The 23522-nt window shown below is 59.1% G+C and overlaps 1 protein-coding gene across 4 annotated transcripts in view, besides 5 other annotated features; it reads left to right on the top strand.

Annotated features, from left to right (window-relative positions):
• Positions 5314-5473: a silencer, noted in NCBI's record as "silent region_6208". NCBI's record gives its function as "represses an Ori minimal core promoter by ATAC-STARR-seq in GM12878 lymphoblastoid cells {active_cell/tissue: GM12878}" and the evidence as "EXISTENCE:reporter gene assay evidence [ECO:0000049][PMID:35858748]".
• Positions 5457-23522, top strand: part of AHNAK2 (AHNAK nucleoprotein 2) — a 41122-nt gene continuing 23056 nt past the window's right edge. The window contains exon 1 of one of the 4 annotated variants that reach the window (NM_138420.4): positions 5457-5648. In NM_138420.4, coding sequence (NP_612429.2) covers positions 5594-5648 — 55 coding nt within the window. In that variant the 5' untranslated portion in view covers positions 5457-5593. Of the gene's footprint in view, positions 5649-13323; positions 16871-17619; positions 17813-23522 lie in introns of those variants that run through there. The other 3 variants (NM_001350929.2, XM_047430904.1, XM_024449463.2) reach the window with 3 other exon arrangements.
• Positions 7580-7799: a silencer, noted in NCBI's record as "silent region_6207". NCBI's record gives its function as "represses an Ori minimal core promoter by ATAC-STARR-seq in GM12878 lymphoblastoid cells {active_cell/tissue: GM12878}" and the evidence as "EXISTENCE:reporter gene assay evidence [ECO:0000049][PMID:35858748]".
• Positions 8000-8079: an enhancer, noted in NCBI's record as "active region_9126". NCBI's record gives its function as "activates an Ori minimal core promoter by ATAC-STARR-seq in GM12878 lymphoblastoid cells {active_cell/tissue: GM12878}" and the evidence as "EXISTENCE:reporter gene assay evidence [ECO:0000049][PMID:35858748]".
• Positions 14263-14996: an enhancer, noted in NCBI's record as "H3K4me1 hESC enhancer chr14:105435172-105435905 (GRCh37/hg19 assembly coordinates)". NCBI's record gives its function as "activates a minimal SCP1, AML or CMV promoter by ChIP-STARR-seq in naive H9 embryonic stem cells {active_cell/tissue: H9 hESC(naive)}" and the evidence as "EXISTENCE:reporter gene assay evidence [ECO:0000049][PMID:30033119]".
• Positions 15732-16465: an enhancer, noted in NCBI's record as "H3K27ac-H3K4me1 hESC enhancer chr14:105433703-105434436 (GRCh37/hg19 assembly coordinates)". NCBI's record gives its function as "activates a minimal SCP1, AML or CMV promoter by ChIP-STARR-seq in naive H9 embryonic stem cells {active_cell/tissue: H9 hESC(naive)}" and the evidence as "EXISTENCE:reporter gene assay evidence [ECO:0000049][PMID:30033119]".

The raw sequence follows: 23522 nt of genomic DNA, 5'->3' as shown, positions 1-23522 counted from the left end.
AAGATGGAAGCAGAGCCGGAGTGATACGAGACTGCAGATGCCTCTGGAGGCTGAAGGGACCAGAAAACAGATCTCCCCTGAAGCCTCCAGAAGGCACACCATCCTGCCCACACCTAGAACTGGAGTTGATAAATGCGCACATGCTGTTTTCAACCACTGTGTCGGGGGTATTTTGTTATGGCAGCAGCAGGGAACTAATATGCCTGAGTGACCCCTTGTGACCCACTGAGAAGTGCTGCGTCGGGGAAGCCAAGGTGCAGAGGAAATGGCAGCGGCAACCTTGACATCAGGTGCCCAACCCTGGTTGCAGGAGGAGGTGGGGGCAGCCCAGGTGGCTGCTAGGCCGCTGCTGGCTTCTTGGGCCAGCTTCTGGGCAGACCATCCTGCTTCATGGCACAGCCTGAAAGGCACGAGCTGAGGATAAGGCTTCCAGGTTGGCGATTGGAGCAGGCACTGCTCAAATTGAACTGGCCCAGCTGCTAGGGGAGACTGGGCCGGAGAGGGTGGGTTCCCATTAAAGCCTGGGTGTGGGGGACATTAGCCATGACTCCCGAGGGGCATGGAGGGGGCAGGTGGAGTGTGGTCGGGACGAGGAGCCCATGTGGCCCTCCCAGGACCTCTCCAGCCACCTCGGTCCACCCTGAGCCCCAGCCCTGCTCAATGGCTGTGTGGGGAGCACCTTCCCTTCTGCAGAGGAGCCAAGCTTCCCTACCCTAGTCTCAGGAGGAAGGGGCCAGCCTGGGTTCTGGGGCAAGTGCCACCTATGCACAGAGCCCCACAGTCATCTTGGGATCTCCCAGCATCACCTGATGAGCAAGGACTGGCTGGGGAGGGGTCCCCAGAAGCACCCAGGCATCCTGGTCCTCTGGGATCCTCAGCCCCAAGTCCCTAGGGCAAGTTGGGGCGTGTGCCTGTCCTCACCTCTGGCAGCAGGAGTGCCAGGGCTTGCAGGCGGCAGCATGGGAACCTGCTGCTGCTCGGATCCCAGGCTAGCCCACACGGACTGCTGAGCCAGAGAGCCCGATGAAGACATGGGTTGAAGAAACCCATCCGAGTGGAACGATGGCAGCACCCTGACATGCCCCACCACTGCCACATTTCCTGATCCCAGCTGTGTGGGTGCAGAGGAAGTGGACCTGGGGACAATACCCAGGCCTGAAACGGGCACCCAGCTTTGGGGGAGAGTGAGGCGGTTAGAGGTCAGGAGTCAGTGTGGTCAGGCAAGAGTGGGAGGCTGGGTGGACAAGTGTCCCCCACCTGGTCAGGGGGTCCTCCCCCATCATCTCCGTATAAAAGACTGAGGAGGGGCAGGCAGTGGCTGAGACAGTCCTAGATGCTCCCACCTCACCTCACACCCCTCCATCTGGGCACGAGGCTGGGCTGGATGCAAGGCTGTGGCTGGGGCGGGGCAGGGACCACAGCAGAGCTATTTTTGCTTATGTTGCTGCAGCTGCCGCAGCAAGAATCAATCATTGATGCTGTGGGCATCCCTGCCTGCAGAGGGTGGAGGCAAGCAGCGCCAGTCAGGCCATGGGGGCAGGGCAGCGGCTCTGCTGATGATCAGGGCCTGGGGAGCCTCGGCTCCTCACCCAGGCCCCGGCACCCAGCCTCAGGAAGGCTGTGGGCAACCAGTGGGCTGGGCCAGTGTCCCCATCTCAGTGGTCCAGGGAAGAGGTGGAGGCTGTGTGCACAGGAGAGAGCATGCGATGCCCTCTCCCTGGGGTGACACCTACAGCAGGTGTGGGGCCTTGTATGTGCCAGGGGCGGCTGTGAGTTGGGCTTGTGTCCAGCGATGCTGTGGGTGGGGGCATGAATTCCTGAGCCCAGGCATGCTTCTGTGGTCCTCCCTAGCTGGGCATCTGTCCTCAGAGGGGCACATGGGGAGGAAACTGGAGCTGGGCGTGACGACAGGAGCGCAGGCTTCAGCTGGCGGGCAGGGCCCGGGATGGGGGCTGGCAGCCCCTCTCATCTTCTCCCCTGCTCCCACAGCTGTGACCCTGGACCCCTGTTTCAGCTGCTGAGGCCCTGGTGGGCGGGAGGAGGGATTCTGGCTGGCCCCTGGGGAGCCAGTCCTCAACTGCACATAGCCGCAGCCTGCCTGTTTGTGGGGGTACACTGCCCAAGTTGCAGGCCCTCCCAGAGGCATCTGGAGTGAGATAGAGCTCTCAGGACCCCAGGTTCCTTGAGGTGGGGAAGCTCTCTGGACAGACACCCCAAGGTGTCTTACTCATGACACTGTCAGCTTAACCCTCAAGCTAGGAGAAGACCCCCAGAAGGAGGGTGGGAGGGGCAGTCCCCAGCTCCCCGACAGTCACAACCAGACTGTGGCCCCAGCACTCAGGGCAGCGCAGAGCCAGAGGCCACTGCAGAGAGACACCAGCCCTCTGTCTCAGAGTGGGCAGGAGAAGGGAGGGACGGCCTCCGGGTGGAGCAGGCCCTGCCCAGACCCCATCCTGAATTCTGGGGCCACAGGGGAGCATGGCGCAGCTGCGTGTGTGTGTCTGTGCCCACCTTGGAAGTGGGCAGCCCCGTGCAGGGCAGAGGCAAAGTTCCTGGACCTGGGCAGCTGTGGTTGGTTCTGGGACCATTTCTTAGCCAGGGGAGGACAGGCCCAGTGGACACAGCTAGGGGAAGATCTCAGCCACCCCAGGCTGAGGGGCAGGACCAGGGCAAAGTCCTCCCAAGTGTGGGGTCCCCACACTCCCGTGACGCCACGCTGAACTTGCGCTCTCACTCGGCCCCCACCAAGATGGCCTGGAGGGTTCTCTCATCTTGCTGAAGGAAAACAGAGGCAGGGGCAGCAGGTAGTAGCCCAGGGACAGGGACATGTCGGGGGCAACCTCGGCTTCCCCACCCAGGGCTCCATCCTCACCCATCCCGCAAAGCCAAGGGGAGTCCCCGTAGCCCTGCGCAGATCACGCCAGACAATCAGGAGAGGGGCCACTTCATTTGGATGGGGACCCAGGAGGCCACATGACTTTGTCAAGGGCACACACCTAAAGGGGCTGAGGACACAAAGGTGGGTGAGTGCCCTGAGCGGCCCCTCGTTCCCAGGCCCTGCAGCCAGACTCAGACACAGAGGACTAGCGGGCGAAACCCCAGCAGACCAGGCAGAGGCATAGACACATCCAGGGACACACACAGAGGTGTATGCACCCAGGCACCCTAGTGGCTCTCTCCCTGTGTCCAGGGAGTGACTGACTCCAGGTGACCAGAGCAGGGTGGGCTCCTGGGGAGGGAGGTAAGTGCAGGGCCTCTGGACCCCAGGCAACACTGCTCAGCCCCGAAAAAAGGACACTGCGAGGGGGTGGGGTAAGACCTGCGCCAGGTCCCCACACGAGGGAGAAGGTTGTGCCCATCATGCCTGGGCTCACTGGCAGGAGGCTGCCAGGGCCTCTTCCCAGCAGTGGCTCTGGCGTCCATCTGACCTGCTGCTGGATGGCTGCCCGGTGGCTGCAGCGCGGCTAACGGGAACTGTCTAGGGTGAGTCATCGTGCCCGGGTGGCTCACCTGGGCCCGCTAGCTGTGCGTGGTCTCCAAATGAGCCCAGGAATGCGTGTGCCCCTGTGTGTATGTATACACGTGCATGGGTCTGTATCCTGGTGTGGGTGTTCATGCATGCAGGCCTGAGTGTATCAAATATCTCAGGTGGCCTGTGTCTGTGTCTTGGTGAGTTTGTGATCTTATCTATGAGTGTGTGTGTCTGCCTGGCCCTTCCGGTACAGCCTGGCCTCTTCCCACCCCAGGAAAAGGTGTCCGTGTGTGTGTGTGTGTGTGTGTGTGTATGACAGAGCATGTGTGTTTGTGTCTCTATGTGTATGTGTCTGTGTGTCTCTGTGTGTGTGTCTGTGTGTGTGTGAGTGTGCCTCTATGTGTACCTGTGTATCTCTGTGTCTGTGTCTCTGTCCATGTGTGTCTGTGTGTCTCTGTGTGTGTCTGTGTGTGCCTCTGTGTGTGTGTCTGTATGTGTACCTGTGTATCTGTGTGTCTGTGTCTCTGTCCGTGTGTGTCTGTGTGTCTCTGTGTCTTTATCTCTGTATGTATGTATGTGTGTGTGTATCCGTATGTGTGTCCGTGTGTGTGTGTGTCCCTGCATCTGACCCACACCCCTGGACATTGCCAGGCAGCTCCTCATGGAGGTGGCGGTCCTCTCCTGGGTCTCTTCCAGCCCTGCCTTCCCCGACAATCCCTGCAGAACTCCACTCCTTCTGGGGTATGCCCGGTTTGGGTCTACACCAGGCCAGGCGTCACCAAACTCTTAGAACTCCCTTGGGCCCCTGCCCTCCCTGTCCACACCCCCAGGTGTGCTGCCTCTGTGTGGTGCCCAAGCTAGATCCCAGGGAGGCTCCCACCCTCTGCACTCTGATCCTCACCAAGTCCCCTCTGCCTGCATATCCTTTCACTCCCTCCCATACCATGGCCGTGGTTCCACTGCTCCTGTTTCCAGCTGTGCCCCATGCCAACACCCCTAGCCACCTGCGCAGTCTTTCCTCAGCTCTCACCACGCTCAGAGACCCTGCTTGGAGCCTTAAGTGGCACCTCCTACCGACAGGAGCCCCCTCAGCCTCCTTGCTGCCCTGCCCCCGCCCACTGGGCCTGACTTTCAACCCCAGCCCTTTTGCCCCCATTCTCTGCACACACGCTACTCTGTCCCCTCTCTCCAGAACGCTTCCTACACTGCCTGGCACATGTCTCACCCCTAAGGTCCCAGCTTACACTGCCAGGAGCCCTCCAGGACCTCCGTTCCCCCGCCCCCAGGGCAGTGCCGCCCTGCAGAACGCCTCATCCTTACAGGCTTGCTTGTGTCTACGCCAGACCTGGAGCCCCTGGGGCAGGGCCAGTGGGGTGCTGGTTGCCGCTGTGTCCTAGGCCCTAGGCTCTTGACAAGAATCAGCAGAAAGGATGACTCTGGGCGGGGTTCTGGCTCCAGGACTGCCCCCAGCGCTGGGCGCTCCCGCACGCGGCGCCCACCCCGCAGCCCTGCCCGGGGCGCCCTGTTCCCGCTGCACGCTCTCAGCCGCGTCCTCGTATCTGCCACCCACCAGCCCCTGCAGAATTCTATCTTGTCCTTATGCTGCCAGATCACCTCCTGCGGTGCCCGCGACCCCTGTTGTCCCCGCAGGCTGCCCCCCACCCCAGCTTCTGACTAAAGTGTCTGTCTCCCCCGGAATGGGAGGTGAAGACAGCGGCAAGTCCAGGAGCCTCGGTGCGGGGATCCAGAGGTCGCTCCCTGGCGGGAGTCCAAAGTTAATTCTGCGGACGCGACAGGCGGGCCGGGGGCGCGGGGTGGGGCGGGGCCTGGCTGGGAGGGGCGGGGCCGCGGCGACGGCAGCCAATGGGCTGAATGAGGCCGACGGCACCGCCCGCGAGCGCGCTCCGCAGTGGCCCGGCAGGGCTGGGCGGAGCCGGGCGGGGTCCTAGCTGAGCGGCTGGGTAGCCTGGCGCGCGGTGTCCGCAGTCCGAGGTCGGCCGCCCGCGGCAGCGCAGGGCAGCGGGGCAGAGCGCGGCTCCCGCCCGCCCGCCCCGTGCGCCGGAGCCGGGACCAGCGACTGGACGCGACGGGCCGCCAGGCCCGCACCGCCTGGCCGCCGCGATGTGCGACTGCTTCCACATGGTGCTGCCCACCTGGCCCGGAACCCCCGGCAGCGGTGCGCCCCTCCCCGCCTGCAGCCCGCTCCCCTGGGGCGGGTGGGCTACGCGCGAGGGCGCGCGCCGGGGCGTGTCCAGGGGCGCGCAGTGCGGGCCTTGGGGGCGGGGGACTCGGAGACGCCTGCGGGACTCGCGCGTGGTTCTGGGCCTTCCCGGCCGCTGGAGTCTCTTCTCCCATGCCTCGCGTTCTACCTGTCCGTGGCTGTAGGTTCCTGCTCCTCTCCCGGCCTCTGAGACTGTCTCTGTCGCTCACTTTGTTTCTCGGTGGCTGACTCGTCTCTGTCGCTCACTCCCTCTGTCACTCGCGGTCCCTGTCTGTCTCTCCTTCTCGCTCCTGCCCCGCTCCTGGGACGCTGTCTGGTCGAGAGGCGGCCTCCTGGGAGGTGCTACCGCACTCTGGAGCAGGGCTGGTGTCTGCAAGGGGCGTGAAAGCCGGGGCCGCCGGGACCCGGGGCACCTGCACCAGGCTTGCCCTCTCACCTGCTTTGCGGGAGAGCAGCCAGGCTGGTCCAGGAGTCTGGGCTCTCCACTTTGGTCCGGGGCTTCCAGGCAGGGCTGGGCTGCGTCTACTGTGTGGCTGTGTGGTGGGGTCGCTGGCTAGGTGGAGGCTGTGGCAGGGCTAGGCCTGAGGTCTGGGGCCTGGTGAGGGGCCTGAATGGGGTCAAAGTCAGGCCACAGGGTCCCGCAGTGCTGGGCAAGGGAAAGTGGGTGCTACCTACTGGCATGCCCCCAGGGATGGTCAGTAGCCTCCCTCTGAGCCGCAGGCTACGGCATGTGTACCTGCTGCTCTTTGTGTGTCTGTCCCTGCACTGGGCCTGGTTCCGGGGCCTGGGTGTCTCAGCATCTTGGAGGGCAGGGCTGAGGGGGGCAGGGCAGTCCCTTGGGCGCTGGGTCTATGCTGCTGCAGCTGACCACACCCAGGGCATTGGCAGCCACTGGCCAGGGGGTTGGGCTGGCCGGCACTGGTGCAGGCTGGACCCCACTCCTTGGGGAAAACAGGTCAATGCTAATGGTGCCGACAATGCTGCAGGTGAGAGGGGTGCCCCTGGCCTGGGCATGCCCCCCAGCTGCAGCAGGCACTACCAAGGCCCCTCCTGTGGCCTGTCTGTCTGGTGCGCACTTAGGGTGGGAGGCTTGTCTGGGGGGCTCCAGAGCAGGGAGGCCCCTACAGCACCTGCTTCACGGTGTCGCAGATGGGAGCCCAAGGTGTTTGGGCACAGCAGCGGGAGGATGATGGCTCCGGTGGGCTGGAGGCCCCTGGCCCCCTCCTCTTTCACTATGACTGGCCCTGCCCACATGGCTGCAGGTCGACCTCCTCAGAGGGAGAAGGGCAGGGCCCCCAGGCATGGGACCACTACCCTGCCCCCAGCTTCCCTGCACAGCCTTTCTGCTCTGCTTCCTCCTCACTCACGGGCACCCAGAGACTCCCAAGCTGCAGGGTCCAGGACCATCTCATCCACCCCCTGCCTCCACAGAGGCTTGTGCTGGCTTCATGGTTCCCAGCCCGTCTGGGGCAGTCCCTCCCTGTGTCCAGCCTACGGAACCATCCGCTCTTAGGGAATAAGGTCAGTGGCTCTCGCTGGAGCTTTGGTAGGAGACTTGCAAGATCAGAGACCTTGGGAGTTCTGTCCAGCACACCGGTTCCCAGACCCTCCCCAACCCTGCGGCCCAGGAACGTGCATTCCTGACAAGCACCCTGCCAACTACTGCCTTTCCCAGCCTGGATTTGGTCCAGGCCTTTTCCACCTGCAGTTTCCTCTCAGCAGGCTGGAGATGGGCGGACTCTCCCCTGCTCTCGTCTTCCTGTCCAGTCCAAACCTGCCCTCTGCCCGACACACCAGGCACCAGCCCAGCAGGGAGCCATCTCCTGGGCGGCTTTTGTGCCGAGGCTGCCCCCTGGTGGCCATGCTGGGACCACCCCACGCAGCGCTGCCGACTGTAACACCAGCCAGTTCACTCCCAGTGGGCTCTGGGTGTCACACTCTTGCCTACTCCAGGGGCAGGTTGCCTCTTTCCCAGGGGCAGAGCTGGGCCCCTGATAACTGGGGAGACAGGGAACCCCTCCCCGGCCCCGGCCCCCACCCTGCACCTGCTGCCCCGGTGTGGCCTGAGCACCTCCCACGACCCCCCAAGAAAGCACCACCGTGTTGGGAAGGCCCCAGGTGGTGATACCATGCGAAGATGTGTGGGTGGTCTCTTCTCTGCGGTGGGGGTCATGAGATGGCTGGGCCCTTTCCCAAGAAGGGTGCAAAGCAAGGCAGCTGTGGAGGTGGTCTCGCTGTTCTGTGCCTCGCTGGTGCCCTCTTCAGGGCCTCAGGCTGCAAATGTGGGTCAGGACCTCACATTCGGGGTCAGGAGTGATTGCAGCTGCCTGTGCTGCTAGCTCCACGCAGCCAGGGATGCCGAGTGACAGCGCGGGCGGGTCTGTCACCACCCTGGTGTCTCCCTGACTGGGTCATCTACACTGGGGGAGGGCTGTATTCCCATTCTGCAGACAAGGACACTGAGGCTGGGGACAGTGACGCAGTGACTCCCTGGGCTCTTAGGGGCCAGAGCAGAATGTCGCACGCTTTGGTCGGTGACATGCTGTTCTGACAGGTGCTGGCTCTGCCCTGCCCCACCAGGCAGGGTGACCGCAGGCAAAGGAGCCCCTCTGTAGCCGCTAGTGGCAGGAATGGGCCTTGAGGAGGAGGCAGCAGAGGGCATCCTGGAGTGCCCTCCAGTGAGGTGGCCTCTCAGAAGCCACCGACAGTGATGCTGTAAGTGTGTTCCTAACAACCCCAGCTCTTTCCCTGGTGGGGAAACAGAAGCTGGACCACCAGGGAGGGAGGCTGGGCTGCCTGCTGGCCTCTGGCTCCTGCCCCAAGCCTCAGGCAGTGCCCACCTGGTGCAGCTCAGGGAAGGGGGTGAGGCTCAGAAGTGGACAGGAGGGTCAAGCCCGCAGAGCCTCCAGTTCCAATGCCCCAGGAGCCCGCTCCCTCCCGGCCTTCTCCATGCCCAGGAAGCTGAGTGCCCACTCCCATCCGGGCTCGTCGTGGCTGGGCCTACAACAGGAATGCCCTCATTGCCTTCTCTCCATTTGGCCAAGCTCTTCTGTCCTGGGCTGGGCTAGGAGCTGCCTCTTCTGGGAAGTCCCCTGGGTTGCTGGGCCCACTCCCAGCTCTCCCTTAGACTCTGGCCCGCTCTGTGTCCTTCCTCTTGTGACACCTATGCGGAAGGCCTCTGTGTTTCAGGCTCAGCTAGGGGCTGGCTTGGCCAGGTGTGGAGAAGTATAGGTGCTGGGGAGGAAAGGCCCCCAAGCCCCAGCAAGTGGGGGGCACTGGCCATCTGGGGGTCCCTGCCACCCACTTCAGGAGTAAAATGCCACACTCTCCCAGCTTGGTCTTCCGGCTGGCAGAGACGGACCCTGCGCTCAGGGATGGTGTGAGTTGTGGGGGTGCTTCCCCGTCTGTCTGGCGGCCTGTTCACCCATCCTTCTGGGTCTCAAAGCCACCCCGGGAACCCTGGGACCTGGGAGGTCATAGCTCAGCAGAGGAAGGATCCACCCATTGTTCAGTCAACAAATGTGAATCCCATTTTTGTGGCCAGTGCAGCCTTAGGGGGCACAGAAGGGCCAGAGAGGGCTCCCTGGAGGACAACTGGCCCAATGGAGACCGGGACTGGTCATGAAAAAGAAGCGGAGGCAAAGCAGCAGGAGCCTGCAGAGGCTGAGGGCGAAGTCAGGGACCTGCAAGTTGTTCAACCCAGTGCATCTGGGACGGGGTGGGGTGAGGATGGAGAGGTGGCAGCGTCAGCTGCTGGAGGGAGGGCTTTGTCCTGAGGGCACCGGGGAGCCCCATAGGTCTTAGGGCAGTTTTGGTGGGAAGGAAGCTGCTCCGTGGGGGATGTGGAGGCCAGGTTAGCTAAGGGAGCTTAGCGGAGGCTTAACTGGACACACAAGGAGGACGGGGCATGCTCCTCTGCTCCCCTCCACCCGCTCTAAGGGTGACGGGATCCCCAGCCACGCTGCGAGCTTGAGGGTGTCTCCACCAGGCCCCACCTGCACTCAGCCTGGGCCTCCAGATTTCCCTTTATTTTTCTTTTTTTGGAAGTCATCGGCTGGCCGGGAGTCAAGGCCTTCCTTGCTCGGATAAATATTTAATAGTCAGAAGCACTTTCTAAAATGGAAACATGGAGCTGAGCCCAGGAGGCAGGGGATGGGGAGGGGCTGGGGCGGGAGGCGGTACTCCCCCATCCCCGCACCCCACAGAGGCCAGGCAGAGGTTTTTGCAGCCACCGCCCTCCCCTCCCCTCCGGCTGCGGGTCCCTGCCCTGCCAGCTCTGCTGCGCACTCGGACCTGCTGACCCAATGTGTGCTTGTGAGGGTGGGAGTGGCATCGGGGCCTCCTCTCTGCAGAGCTCTTGGGAGGGACTCCTTCCTGCAGGGGTGGCGGTGGTGGGAGGCTAGGCAATTGCCCAGGCTGTTCCAGGCAGGAGTCCGGAAAGGGATCTCAAGCCACACCCCTGCCTGGACGCTGCTGAGGGTATAGCCAAGCAGGGGCAGCTGGGGGTACCCGGGATGTGGCAGGGGCAGGACACTTGGGGGACCCTTACTGGGCTATGTCCGTGTGAGCCCTGCCGGCTGGAGGGGCTGTCAGGTGATGGCGCCTGGGTGGGCAGGAGGCCCCATGACTCACCCCCACCAGGTGGAATTAAGGCCCCTTTGTTTAGGGCCACAGCCTTCGGTCCTCGCCCTGCTCCTGCTGCTTGGCAGGCCTGGCTCCTGGGTGAGCCAGCACCGCGGGCTCCTTGGTGACACACGCCCTGAGAATGCCGAGCTTCACGCCTTGGCCTCCTCCCGGCTGATTCACCATCCGCTGCCCTCAGCCCTCCCTGGCCCCCGCCAGCAGCCGAGTTCCCATGGCGACTCCTAGCTGGTCCTGGGTCCTAGCAGCTCTGAGCCAGGACTAGCTGTTCAGTGCGCATCACGGGACATGCCGGATGGCCTAGGTCTCAGGGTCTGTGATGTGGTGGCTTAGCAGAGCCCCTGCTTGCCGTCCCTCCAGCTGATCAGACACCTGCCTGACCACTGAGTCCCACCACGTGGTGCCAGGGGTCCGGTAGGTGGGGCCCCCGGGAACTGAGGCAGGTGAGCAAGGCCCTGCCCAGCACCCGCCTGCTGGTGGTCAAGTGTGCCTCTCTTGGGACTGGGTAGCAACAGGGGCAGGTGTGAAGCATGGCTCTCCAGCTCTTACCCTTCCCAGTAAGTGGCCCCCTGAGCCAGAGCCCAGGGCCTCCAGCCTGACCCCATCCCTTGCTGTGTGTCTGCACCGTGCTGTGGGCACCCACCGCCAGGGGCTCTGGAGCCGAGGGCTCGGTTCTGAGTGCCTGGCGGGGGAGCAAGTCCAGGATCTGAGCTGGGAGGGTGCCCCAGGCAGAGCCAGTGGCACGTGCTTAGAGTCTGGAGAGGGCCTGGGGCAGGGTGTGGTGCGTTCCCATGGCTGTCCGCGTTGGGGAGGGTGCACCAGGAGGAGATCTCCGTCATGTGTTCCAGGGCTTGGCGGACCACACTGGCCGCACTGCAGCGAGGGTCTGGGAAGGGCTTGCGTGGCCAGCGCTGTGGCCAGCTGTGCAGGGCACCTCCCTCTGGCTGCTGTGAGGTGGGCGTAGCTGGGGTGGGGGCCCCAGCAAAGGCTCTTGCGGGGGTCAGTGCTGTGTCTGGCATGACGGCCCCGCTCTGTGCCAGCGTCTCCTTCCTGTCCCACTCCAGCAGGCTGGGCCTCTGGGTACGGCGCTGACTCAGCCAGCCCTGCCCTGCCTGGCTGAGTGTGGGTGTCAGGTGGTAAACAGTAAACAGCGTTCCCAGGTGAGAGCTGTCTGGGAGTGTCCCTGGAGCAGACGTGGCCAGCTTTCCTGCCTCCGTGTAAATAGAGTCGTTTTCTATCTTTGTGACCGTTAGGTTTTTGTGTCAGCCTTTTTAGGGTATTGCAATGGGGGGAGGCCCAGAAGGGGCCTGGAATCAGGTCCCCACCTTTCAGGCCTGAGGAGCCCCTGAGGCCTCTCCCACCCCATTTGCCGGCAAGTGCCCCTGCCCTGGGGCTGGGACAGAGCCTTCCCTGCCCTTGAAGTCCTCTGGCCTACTTGAGGACCCCTTCTCTGTGTGCCCACCTCAGGCCACCCTGGCATCCCGTGGCGGGGGCAGCCCTCTCAGCTGCACCTTCCCACCTCTTCCCATGCCGTTGGGGCCTGGTGCAGGTGCAAGCCGTTCCATCGCTGACCTCCCAGGCTGGGTCTGACCCCTCGCTGCCCCTAAGGCCTGGGCTGGGCCTCGGCTGTGTGGGCCTGCTCCAGACTGCCTGTTGGAGGCACGTCCACACCCAGGCTATGGGCACAGGGCTGGCACACTGGGATCCCAGGGGGGCTACACGTAGCACAGCTGGTTGAGTCCTGCTGGAGCCTCCTGGCTGCCCAGAGCAAAGAGGAGTGGGGGCTAAGGGCCCAGGGTGCAGCAGGGTGAGGTGACCAGGAGGTGGGCCAGGCAGCTGGAGCTCTGGATAGTGGGGGACTTGGGGTCATGGGACTCAGGTGTTTCTCAGCCACCACTTGTATTGAAATGACGGGGAAGGATGGGAGGCTTGTTAAAAAAAAAAGCTAGGCCAGTGCGGAGGCTCACACCTGTAATCCCAGCAGTTTGGGAGGCTGAGGCAGAAGGATCACTTGAGCCTAGGAGTTTGAGACTAGCCAGGGCAACACAGGGAGACCTTGTCTCTACAAAAAATTTAAAAATTAGCCAGGCGTGCTGGTGTGTGCCTGCAGCCCCAGCCACTTGGGAGGCCAAGGCGGGAGGATCACCTGAGCCCATGCGTATGAGATCAGCCTGGACAATATGGTAGGATCCTATCTCTACAAAAAATTTTTAAAATTAGCCAGGTGTGGTGGCGTCACCTGGAGCCCCAGCCACTTGAGAGGCTGACACGGGAGGATGGTTTGAGTCCAGGAGTTTGAGGCTGCAGTGAGCCATGATCGCACCACTGCACTCCAACCTGGGTGAGAGAGAGACCCTGTTTCAAAAAATGCTGCTTCCTGAGCCCCACCGCACCCTGCTTACCAGATACCCTGGTGCTTCGAGGTGTGGTGGCCGCTGTGAGTTTGGGCTGAGCGGGCTGAAGGGAGGCCAGGGTCGGCTGCCCTGGGGGCTCAGGCAGGTGGCAGATGACCAGGCCCCAAGGTCACTGGCCCAGTGACCATGGGGGCAGGCCCTTAGGCTATGCCTCTCCTCCCTTCTGGGCCAGCCTCTGTCCTGGCCCCCATAGGGAAACTGAGACACAGGGTTTGTGCAGAGCCTGCCTAGGAGGGACCTGCCTCAGGCCTGTGTCTGTCCACACAGCAGGACCTGGCGCACACTAAGGCACTCACCAGACTGGGCTGGCTGTGTGACTCAGAGCGGTCTGTTCCTCTGCAGTCAGCTGCTCAGGCTGGGGGTGGGCACTCAGGGTGGGGTCCCCAGCTCCAAGAAGCTGAGTGAGTGTTGGGGGCTGGCCAGGCTCCTGGCCCATCAGGGGACCCGCCCACTCCCTCTGGTGGGATGTGGGGGTCCTGGCAGGGTCCAGAGCCAGCCCTAGGAGCAGGCAGAGGCGGGACAATGGGGGGAGGAGCTGTGGAGGGAAGAACCGGGCGTGGCAGGGGGAGGTGGCCAGTTGGGATCTTCGCTTCTGGGCCAGTTGGGAGAGCGTCTGTAGCTTCCTTGGTAAGTGGCTCCTGTGTCCATGTCCGGACACCTGCTTGCCTCACTCTTCCGCGGGTCTGTGGGGGCCAGCAGGCCACCAGCAAGGGGGGCTGGAGGAACAGAGCTGGGCTAGGCATCCCCCGACCTGCAGCTGACAGACGGGCAGGGGTGTTAGTTCACCGTGGCTCCAGCCAGGGCCAGCGGGCTGGGCAGGGATGTCAGGGAGAAAGCCCCGGAGCCCCTTCTCCTGGGTCCTGGTCCCTGGGGTGCCGGCGGAGCCCAGGCCATACAAGGTGTGTGGCAGGACACCAAGCTGTGGGCCCTGGGCAGGTAGGGGACAGTGGCTCTTGTTTCCAAGGAGCCTGGGTGTGGGGGGAGGTGAATGCCAAGAGCACCCACATTCAGGGCAGCCGCAGGTCTGCAAGTCCCCAAGGTGGGCGTGGGGCCTGGAGAAGGGTCCTCAGATGACCGTGTGCTTGCTTGGTGCACAGGGGCCCTGGGTGGCTGTGGAGGGTGGTTGCTTCCAAAGGCCAGGTTTACTCTCCTGGGGGTGCCCGAGGTGGGCTGTGGGGGCCTGGGGCGATGGGTAGCTCCATCACAGGGTCACACTGCCCTGGACGTCTGTGGGGCCGGCCTTTCAGCCCAGGGAAACTGGCTCAGGCTAGCCCGCCTGGGATGGATGGGAGCATGGGGCTGTTCCTTTTGGCTGCCAAATCCCTTGGAGAGGTGGCACATGTGCTACCCTGTGCCTCAGTTTCTCCAGGAGCAGAAGGAGATGAACTGGGCCCACCTGCTGCCCTCCCATCCCCATCAACTGGCTCCCACCCTCAGGCTTACCAGGCTTTTCCAGGAGATCTGACAAGCTCCTTCCTTTTTCCCATGCACTGCCTGCACTAGCATTTATTATGCACCTACTGTGTGCCAGGCTCTGAGTGCTTGGTGAGCAAAGTGTTCTGGGGACCAGGGAGCCGGCAGTGTCCAGAAGCCATGGCAGGGTGGCCAAGCTCAGTCTGTGAATTTGCCCAGCAGAGAAGACAGCCTGGGAAAGCCCAGAGAGAGAGCGCCTGTGGCCCAGGCAGGCACAGTGAGGGCTGGAGAGGCTGGGGATGTCGGCTAGGGCTAGAGCAGGCACGGAGAGGCTGCCAGGCCAGTCTGACCGATGGATGGCACCAGGGAGCTACGAAAGGTTGTTTCGGGAGAGGGTGATGTGAATAGCCTCACGGGTGCAGCTGGGCTGCAGTGGGGAATGGCTGCTGGATGGGCAAGGAGCCCAGCTCCCAGGTCTAGGGGACTGAGTCTGGCTTCCCCAGCCCTCCTGCAGCCTTGGAGGCAGACACAGAGGCAGGAGCAAGAGCCTGAGCTCATCCCGAGAGAGTTATCTCAAGAAGCATCGGGGAGGGGCGGGGGATGTTGCTCAGGGAAGTCTGAAGGTCTCATGACAGTCAGCCCGCTTGGCACCTTCTTCATGAAGTTCCACGACTGGGTGAGGCCCAAGTGCGGCCGGCTGTGTGTGCCTGTGTCTGGGTGGGCACCAGGTTTCCAGCCCGAGGGCAGTGACTCCCACAGGGCTCCCGCCTCCATGGCCTCACTCTGGGCTGTCCATGGGTGTTCAGAGGGAGGAGCCCAGGCCAGACACACAAGTGCACACACGCCCTAGCACCTGAGCACGTACATCCTGTGAGCACACACGTGTGCACACACACCTGCAAACCTGGAGTGGGCCATTCGTTCCTCCCACCCAGGATGGACTTTTCCGGCCACTGGAGAGCCAGTCTCCTCCCTGCCAGCCCCCAGGGCCCTGGGGACTTGCAAATGCACCCAACCATGCCCTCCCACCTGGAGGCCAGAGATGGGGCCCTGGGGCTGCCAGTTTAGAGGCAAACTTGGATTTTGTTTAAGCAAAATCCACCTCCTCCCCCCACGGACCTGTTCTGGACCCTCCAAGAACTCTCATTTAGCTGGTGGCTGGTGGGAGTCCTCAATCTGGACCCAGCTGTGGAGCAGGGGTGTTGGTGAGCCTCTGCCACACTCCCCGCCTGTGTTCCTTCTCCCCTCCCGCTCGGCCCCTCCCCGCCTCCCGGCCAGGATCTGCTCGTCCCCCAGACACACTGCCTGAGGCCCCGCCTGCTCAGGCCCTGCGCCAGGATAGTCCAGTTCTCGGGGAGGCAGCTTTTCTGGGCCAGGGTGGGTGTCCTCTGCGGCTTTCACTGTGGTACCACCCCCACCTGCCCTGGCATGCAAGGGACTGACCTGGGTCCCGGGGTCCCTCCACAAGGTTCAAGTTTTCACCCGCAGGAATGTTAATGGTAGTGTTGAGGCCAGGGCGCTGGGGGGCCCGGGGAGTGGGGGAAGGGCATTGGGGAAGGAACCAGGTGCCAACGGCCTGACCAGCTGGGCCTGGCTCAGGCGAGTCACCTCCACATTCTCCTCTGTGAAGTGGGGCTTTGGTGACCGTCAACAAACAGTGTCATGATTCAGGTGATGGGGCCACTTGCAGAGCCTGTCTGGGAGAACCGGAGGCCGGGCGGGCAAAGGCGGCCTCCCCTGCGCTCTGCGGCCGAGGCGGGGCTTCCTCAGGAGCTCGGGCCTGGGAGGCGGTGCTCTTGGCGGGGGACTGGGATACTGGGGGCCTTCCTCTCTCTCCCGACTGGCGCGGGTCCGAGGCCGGTAGCCTGGCTGCGCAGCCTTATCCCGAGGCGGGCAGGATTTCCCCCTTCCTGTTTGTGTTCCTGGGCCAGGCTCCTGCCAGCCCAGTGACTGGAGGGGTCCCCACTGCGCAGCTCTGTGGCCAGAGGCAGGTCTGCCGCTCGCTGAGCCTCTGCACTCCATCCCCACTACAGGCAGTGTAGGAACAGCCGCTCCCAGTGCGGTGGCTGAGGGTGGGGCTGGGGACTGTCCCGCGTGGGCCAGTGGCAGGACCAGGCACGAGGGCCAGCAGGAGCAGGGCTGGTCACGTCTCCTCCTCCTTCCCCCATGCAGGTTCCCAGCACAGGGTGTGCCCAGGGCTTGCTGTCGACACCCTCCCTCACCGGCCCCAACACCCACAAGACTACCCTGGAGAGATTTGGGAGTGCAGCCGGCTGTGCCCAGCTCAGGGGCCCTTGACCGTGGTGCCCACCCCCAGCCCAGCAGACCTGTGTTTCCCTGCCTGGCGAGTCCCTTCTCCGAGGAGTTGCCCTCCTGACCCTTTCTTGGGCCTCACAGCAGCTGCCCCCCACCCCCAACCCATCCAGGCTCCTGCCAGCTGGGTGGGGCTTTTTGGCTGGGGAGGCTGCGGAGGGACGGGGAGGCGGCTGGGTTTCTGGGCAGCCTCAGAACACCTGCCCCACCCTGAGTGCTAGGCAGGGCCTGGGACACCCGGTCTCCGAGGCAGTGGAGCCCCTCCCCACTCATGACCCCAGCTGCACCTGCTGCCAGGGGAGCAGCTGTGGGCCAAGTGACCCAGGGACCCTCCTCTGCCCCCAGCCCTGCTAGGTAGTTGCCCCAGCTCCACACCTACTGGCTGGGTCCCCTTGGGTAAGTGGCTCCCCTCCCCCAGCCTCAGTTTTCACATATGTTACCCACCTTGGGGATTGAGCGGCAGGGTCTGGGCAGAGCAGGAAGGGAAACTGAGGCCAGAGAGTGGCTTACCTGCCATTGCCCTTGGCTTAGCGGTGGGCAGGCTCTGGCCAGATTCCTGTCCCTTTCCTTGGCACCACCCCGTCCCACGAATTTGTTGTGGGTCTGGTGTGGCTGGAGCTCCAGGCAGCTCCAGAGGGGCTGGGGTGGCCCCAGCTGGTGGTCCCTCAGGGTTGTGGGGTGCACTGGGGAGCCCTGGCAGGGCCACGTGGAGGGAGTGGGAGGGGGCAGGTGGGCAAGGAGTGGAGGGTTTGGCAGCCATCTGGGAGGCAGAGCGGTGGGGCTGGCCAAGTTCTGTCTGTGCAGGTTGGGGGTGCGTCCAGGTGGGAGCAGCAGGGGCCCTGTCAGGTGGTGGGGCAGTGTCTGAATGCAAAGGTGAGTGAGATGGGCCCAGGTGGCCAGGACAGAGCTGTGCAGAAGGGAGACAGGGTCTTGCCCCTTCACTGCCTGGTTAGGGAGAAGGGGCCTGTGGAGGAGATCGTGTTGTGGGGTTGCCAGGGGTACAATTCTTGGGCTGACACCGTGGGCAAGGCTGGTTTGGCAGGTGGGGGAAACGGAGGTTGTGGCTCTGCTGGGGGGTTATGGAGGCCAGGGGTCTGGGCCTGGCCCCCGGAGCAGTAGGAAGGTGGCGGGGCCGGGATGACGTGGGGGTGAGTGTTGATGCCTCCTGGCACTGACCCAGCCCTGCCTGCCCTCACCTCCTGCCCTTCTCTTCCTTCGCTTGAGAGAACCTCCTCCAGGAGACACCATCCTCCAGCCCTGCCAGGCCTGAGAGCAGAGCCAGAGGGGACCTGGGCTGTGAGCCATCTTGCAGAAGGGCAAGGAAAGGCCCGTGAAGCGGTGAGGGAGTGGCAGGGGCCCGCGCAGGCAGAGGTGCTCTTGGGATGAGCAGGCATGGCCCTGGGGGTGCCTCTGCGGGAGCAGTGTCTGTAGCCCAGCAACCCACAGTCAGGGCAGGCAGGGTGGTCCACATATCCATGAGGGAATGAAAGCTCAGAGAGGGGATGAGCTTGCTCAGGGCCACACAGCACACTGGCCAGAGGAGCAGCCAGACCTAGACCACTGCCGGGACTGGGCCTCCCCATCTGTCTTCGTGGGACAGTCCCCAAGGCCAGGACACCTACCGCAGGGGACAGGGAGCAGCTGGTCCCCGAGGCCAGCACACCACCCCAAAGGATAGGGACATGCTCCTTCCCAATCAGTGTCCTACCAGCAACTGGGTCTGGGGCAGGGATGGGGGCCTTAGTTCTGAGACCCTCCTTGTCACTGCAGGAGGGAGGCCCTGGAGCCCAGGCCAGGGCGCCAGAGTTGGCGTAAGATTGGTACTGTTTCTTCTTGGAATATTTAGAGTATAATTCAGAGTGGGGTTGAGACTGGAGTCCTTTTTGTGGGACGGTTTTAAATAAGGGATTTGATTTTTTCTTTTCTTTTCTTTTCTTTTTTTTTTTTTTTTTTTTGAGACAGAGTTTTGCTTTTGTTGCTGAGGCTGGAGTGCAATGGCATGATCTTGGCTCACTGCAACCTCTGCCTTCTGGGTTCAAGTGATTCTCCTGCCTCAGTCTTCCTAGTAGCTGGGATTACAGGCGCCTGCCACCATGCCCAGCTAATTTTTGTATTTTTAGTAGAGATGGGGTTTCACCATGTTGATTTTTAAATCGTTACAAAAATACTTGGATTATCCATCGGGGCGTCCGTCCTATCTTTTGGCTTCCCTGGGCTACATTGGAAGAAGAAGAATTGTCTTGGGTCACACATAAACTACACTAATGATAGCTGATGAGCTAAAAGAAACAATTGCAAAAGAGTGTAATAAAGTTTTAGGAAGTTTATGAATTTGTGTTAAGCCGTATTCAAAGCTGTTCTGGGCCACATGCGGCCTGTGGGCCGTGGGTTGGACAAGTTTGGTTCTTCTTGTGGGTTTTCTAGGAATATATCCAATCAATCGAAATTTTCAGATTTATTAGTGTAAAGTTTATAATTGTGTTTGATTTTATATAGAATTCTAAAATTTTTTATGGAGAAAGGGTACAAACCATGGCACACCCAAGTAATTAGTCCTCTCCAGGAGACCCTGTCTGCCTGCTCCCCCTGGTGACTTCAGCCCTAGGTGGCCTGAGCCTGACTGTGAGCTGGATGTGACGGGCTCCCCCGGTACGAGCGCTTTTTATATCTAGCTTCTGTGTCTCAACCTTGTGTTTGTGAACTTCATCCACGTTGCACATAGGCATAGTTTATACCATATACTGTTCCATTGGACAAATACCTCGCATTTTTTTTTATTCTACTGTTGATGGACATTTGAATCTCTGGTTTCTGGGTGCTGCAGATTATACTGAGATGGATGTTCCTGCATCCATCTTTTGAGGGACATATGTGCGCATATTTCTTGGCTCTGCCCCTGGCTATGAGTTGCTGGGCCACAGGGTAAGGCTCTACCAGGCTGTTTCCAAGTGGTTGCGCCAGCTGACCCCCAACCCACACCAGGATGGAGTTCCAGCTGCCCTAGGCCTTGTCTCCAGGTGGTCTGCCTCGACTTTTCCATTTCAGCCATTCTCCTGGGAGCATATGGCACCTCGTGGTTTTGTTAGCATTGCCCAGATGACTAGAAATGCTGGCCATCTTTCCATATACTAATCGGCTGGTTGAATATCCTCTTCTATGAGCTACCTTTCCAGTGTTTTCTTGCCCATATTTCTATCGGGTTGTTTGTCTTTTGGTTTGCAAGAATTCTTTGTGCATTCTGGGTTGGAGGCCTTTGCTTGGTAAATGTATTGCAGGTATCTTTGCCCAATCTGTGTTTTGGGCAAAGATAGCTGCAATTTATCGATTTCATTTCCTTTGGATATATACCCAGTAGTGGGACTGCTGGATCAAATGGTAGTTCTATTTTTAATTTTTTGAGGAACCATCCATAGTGTTTTCTATCATGGCTATACTAATTTACATTTCATGCCCTTAGTGGTGTTTTTTGATGAACAGAAGCTCTTAATTCTTTTCTCTCTCTCTCTTTTTTTTTTCTTTTTTTTTTTTAGACGGAGTCTCGCTGTGTGGCCCAGGCTGGAGTGCAGTGGCGCAATCTCAGCTCACTGCAAGCTCCGCCTCCCGGGTTCACGCCATTCTCCTGCCTCAGCCTCCCGAGTAGCTGGGACTACAGGCACCCGCCACCACACCCGGCTAATTTTTTGTATTTTTAGAAGAGACAGGGTTTCACCGTGTTAGCCAGGATGGTCTCGATCTCCTGACCTCGTGATCCGCCCGCCTCGGCCTCCCAAAGTGTTGGGATTACAGGCGTGAGCCACCGCGCCTGGCCAGAAGCTCTTAATTTTAATATAGACCAATATCTGTCATTTTTTGTGTGTTCTGTTTAAGAATTTTTCCCCTACTCCAAAAGTAATTTCTATTTATTTTCTAGAAATTTTATTGTTAAGCCTTTAATTTTGGATCTGTAATCCACATGAAATTAATTTTCTCTGGCTGAGGTGGGGCGAAGATTAATGTTTTTCCATATGGATATCCCATGGATCCCAGGCCATGTGTTGAACAGATCATCACAGCTTTGTGTACGTGTGTCTGTTTCTGGGATCTCTGTTCTGTTCCATTGGTCTTGATTTGCATTTTCCTGATGACTGAAAATGTTGAGCATCTTTCCTTGTACTTATTGAACACTCGTACATCTTCTTTTGTGAAATGTCTGTTCAAATCTGCTGCCTATTTTTAGCTGAGCTTTTTCTCTTCCGTTGAGTTGTACACAGGCTCCATGCAAGTCCTTTGCCAGATACATTCACTGCCTTTTCGTTTTCTGAGGAAAATGAAAGCTCTTAAGGCCAGTGTTTTAAATTATGAGAACTTAAATTTATCAGTTTTCGTTCTATGATCCTTACCTTCTGTATCCTAAGAAAACTTTGCTGCCCTCGAGGTGTTAAAGAAGTTCTCCTATATTTTCTTCTAGAAGTTTTATAGTTTTTGGTTTTACATTCCCCTCTATGATTCATTTCAAATTCATTTTCATGAGTGATGGGATGGAAGGGTCCAGGTTTATTGGTTTCCCAGTAAATACCCAGCTGTTCCAGGACCATTCGGTGAAAAGACTTTGCTTTCTGTTGGAATAACTGGGCTGCTTTGACAAGAATTTGGCCGGGCATGGTGGCTCACGCCTGTACTTTGGGAGGCCAAGGCAGGTGGATCACTTGAGGCCAGGAGTTCAAGACCAGCCTGGGCAACATGGTGAAACCCCATCTCTACTAAAAGTACCAAAAAAAAAAAAAATTAGTGAGGCATGATGGCGCATGCCTGTAATCCCAGCTACTTGGGAGGATGAGGCACCAGAAACGCTTGAACCCAGGAGGCAGAAGTTGCTGTGAGCTGAGATTGTGCCACTGCATTCCAGCCTGAGCGACAGAGTGAGACCCTGTCTCAAAACAAAACCAACCAACCAACAAACAAGAATGAATTGGCCATGTAAGTGTGGGGCTGTTCTGGACTTTGTTTTCTGTTCACTGATTTGTGTTTCTGCCGCACTGTCTTGATTCCACTGGGGGTCAGAGAAGAGAACTCGGATGACTGAAGTTATTTTAAATTCGTCAAGACAGGTTTCTGAGCCAGCATGGGGCCTGTCTCAGTGACTGTCCCCTGTGCACCTGAGAGCAGCATGCACCGGCTGCTGTCAGGAGTGTTCTCCCAGTGCCAGTTTGGTCTCGTTGGTTGATGGGTACTTCAAGTGTTTTGTATCTTCCCCTATTCTACTTTGTAAGGTTATCATTTCCTAAGAGTGTTAGAATCTCCTATTGTATAATAATTGTGGATTTATTTCTCCTTTCAGTTTTGCCAGTTTTTACTGCAGTGTTTCAAAAAGGAGATCTAGGTGTTTTTTGGTTTGTTTGTTTTTTGAGACAGGGTCTTGCTTTGCTGCCCCGGCTGGAGTGCAGTGGCATGAGCTTGGCTCACTGCAGCTTTAACCTCCTGGGCTCAAGTGATCCTCCCACCTCAGCCTCCCGAGTAGCTGGGAATACAGATGTGCGCCACCATGCATGGCTAATTTTTAAATATTTTCTAAAGATGAGGTCTCACTGTGTTGCCCAGGCTAGTCTCAAACTCCTGGCCTCAAGTGTTCCTCCTGCCTCGGTCTCCTAAAGTGCTGGGATTACGGCACAAGCCACTGTGCCCAGCCTAGCATTCCATTTTGGTTCCACTATTGGCTTATTACCTATACATCTTTTTATTTTTTTAATGGTTGCATTATGCTTTATACCCTGAATATTTAACTTATTACAGTATAATTTCAAGTAAGATTGTCCTACTTTAAGTATAATGTAAGATCTTCACAACAGCAACTTTTTTTTTTTTTTTAAGATGGGGTCTCGCTGTCACCCAGGCTGGAGTGCAGTGACGCGATCTCGGCTCACTGCAGGCTCCGCCCCCCGGGGTTCACGCCATTCTCCTGCCTCAGCCTCCCGAGTAGCTGGGACTACAGGCGCCCGCCACCTCGCCCGGCTATTTTTTTGTATTTTTAGTAGAGACGGGGTTTCACTGTGTTAGCCAGGATGGTTTTGATCTCCTGACCTCGTGATCCGCCCGCCTCGGCCTCCCAAAGTGCTGGGATTACAGGCGTGAGCCACCGTGCCCGGCCCACAACAGCAACTTTTGCACTCCATCCCCATCCTGTCATATGCTTTACTTCTATATTTGTAAAATTCTAAGATACATTTTATTTTATTTGTTTTTTTTTTTGGAGACAGAGTCTTGGTCTGTTACCAAGGCTGGAGTGCAGTGGAACAATCTCAGCTCACTGCAACCTCCACCTCCTGGGTTCAAGTGATTCTCCTGCCTCTGCTTCTTGAGTAGCTGGGATTACAGACGTGCACCACCCTGCCCAGCTAATGTTTGTATTTTTAGTAGAGAGGGGTTTCACCATGTTGGCCAGGCTGGTCTCAAACTCCTGGCCTCAAGTGATCTGCCCTCCTTGGCCTCCCAAAGTGCTGGGATTACAGGTGTGAGCCACCGTGCTGACTTATTTTTGTTTTATACAGTTAATTACCTTTTTCTTTTACAGTTTCATTGAGGTACAGTTTATAAACCATAGAACTCACCCATTGTAAATGTACAATTCAATCATTTTACTAACCTTATAGAGTTGTGCAAACATTACCACAATCCAGTTCTGGAAGACCTCCATCACCTTCCAAATTTTCTCAACCCCATTTACAATCAATCTCCCTTCCCACTCCCAGCCCCAGGCAATGCCAGCTTAATTCTGGTAAATTATAGAAACTTTGGTCCAGGGTACACTTGTGCCTCAGCATCCATGAGGGATTGCTTCTAGGACCTCCCTCAGATACCAAAATTCATGGATGCTCAAGTCCCTTCTATAAAGCAATGTAGTATTTGCAAATAACCTACATACATCTTCCCTCCCCTATACTTTAAATCATCTCTAGATTACTTATAATACCTAATGCAATGTAAATGCTATGTAAATAGCTGGTATACTATATTGTTTAGGGAATAATGACAAGAAAAAAAGTCTACACGTGTTCAGTACAGGTGCAATTTT

The sequence above is a fragment of the Homo sapiens genome, chromosome 14 (assembly GCF_000001405.40).
Source record: "Homo sapiens chromosome 14, GRCh38.p14 Primary Assembly".
Taxonomy (NCBI): Eukaryota; Metazoa; Chordata; class Mammalia; order Primates; family Hominidae; genus Homo; species Homo sapiens.
This window is presented reverse-complemented; position numbering and strand designations above follow the sequence as displayed.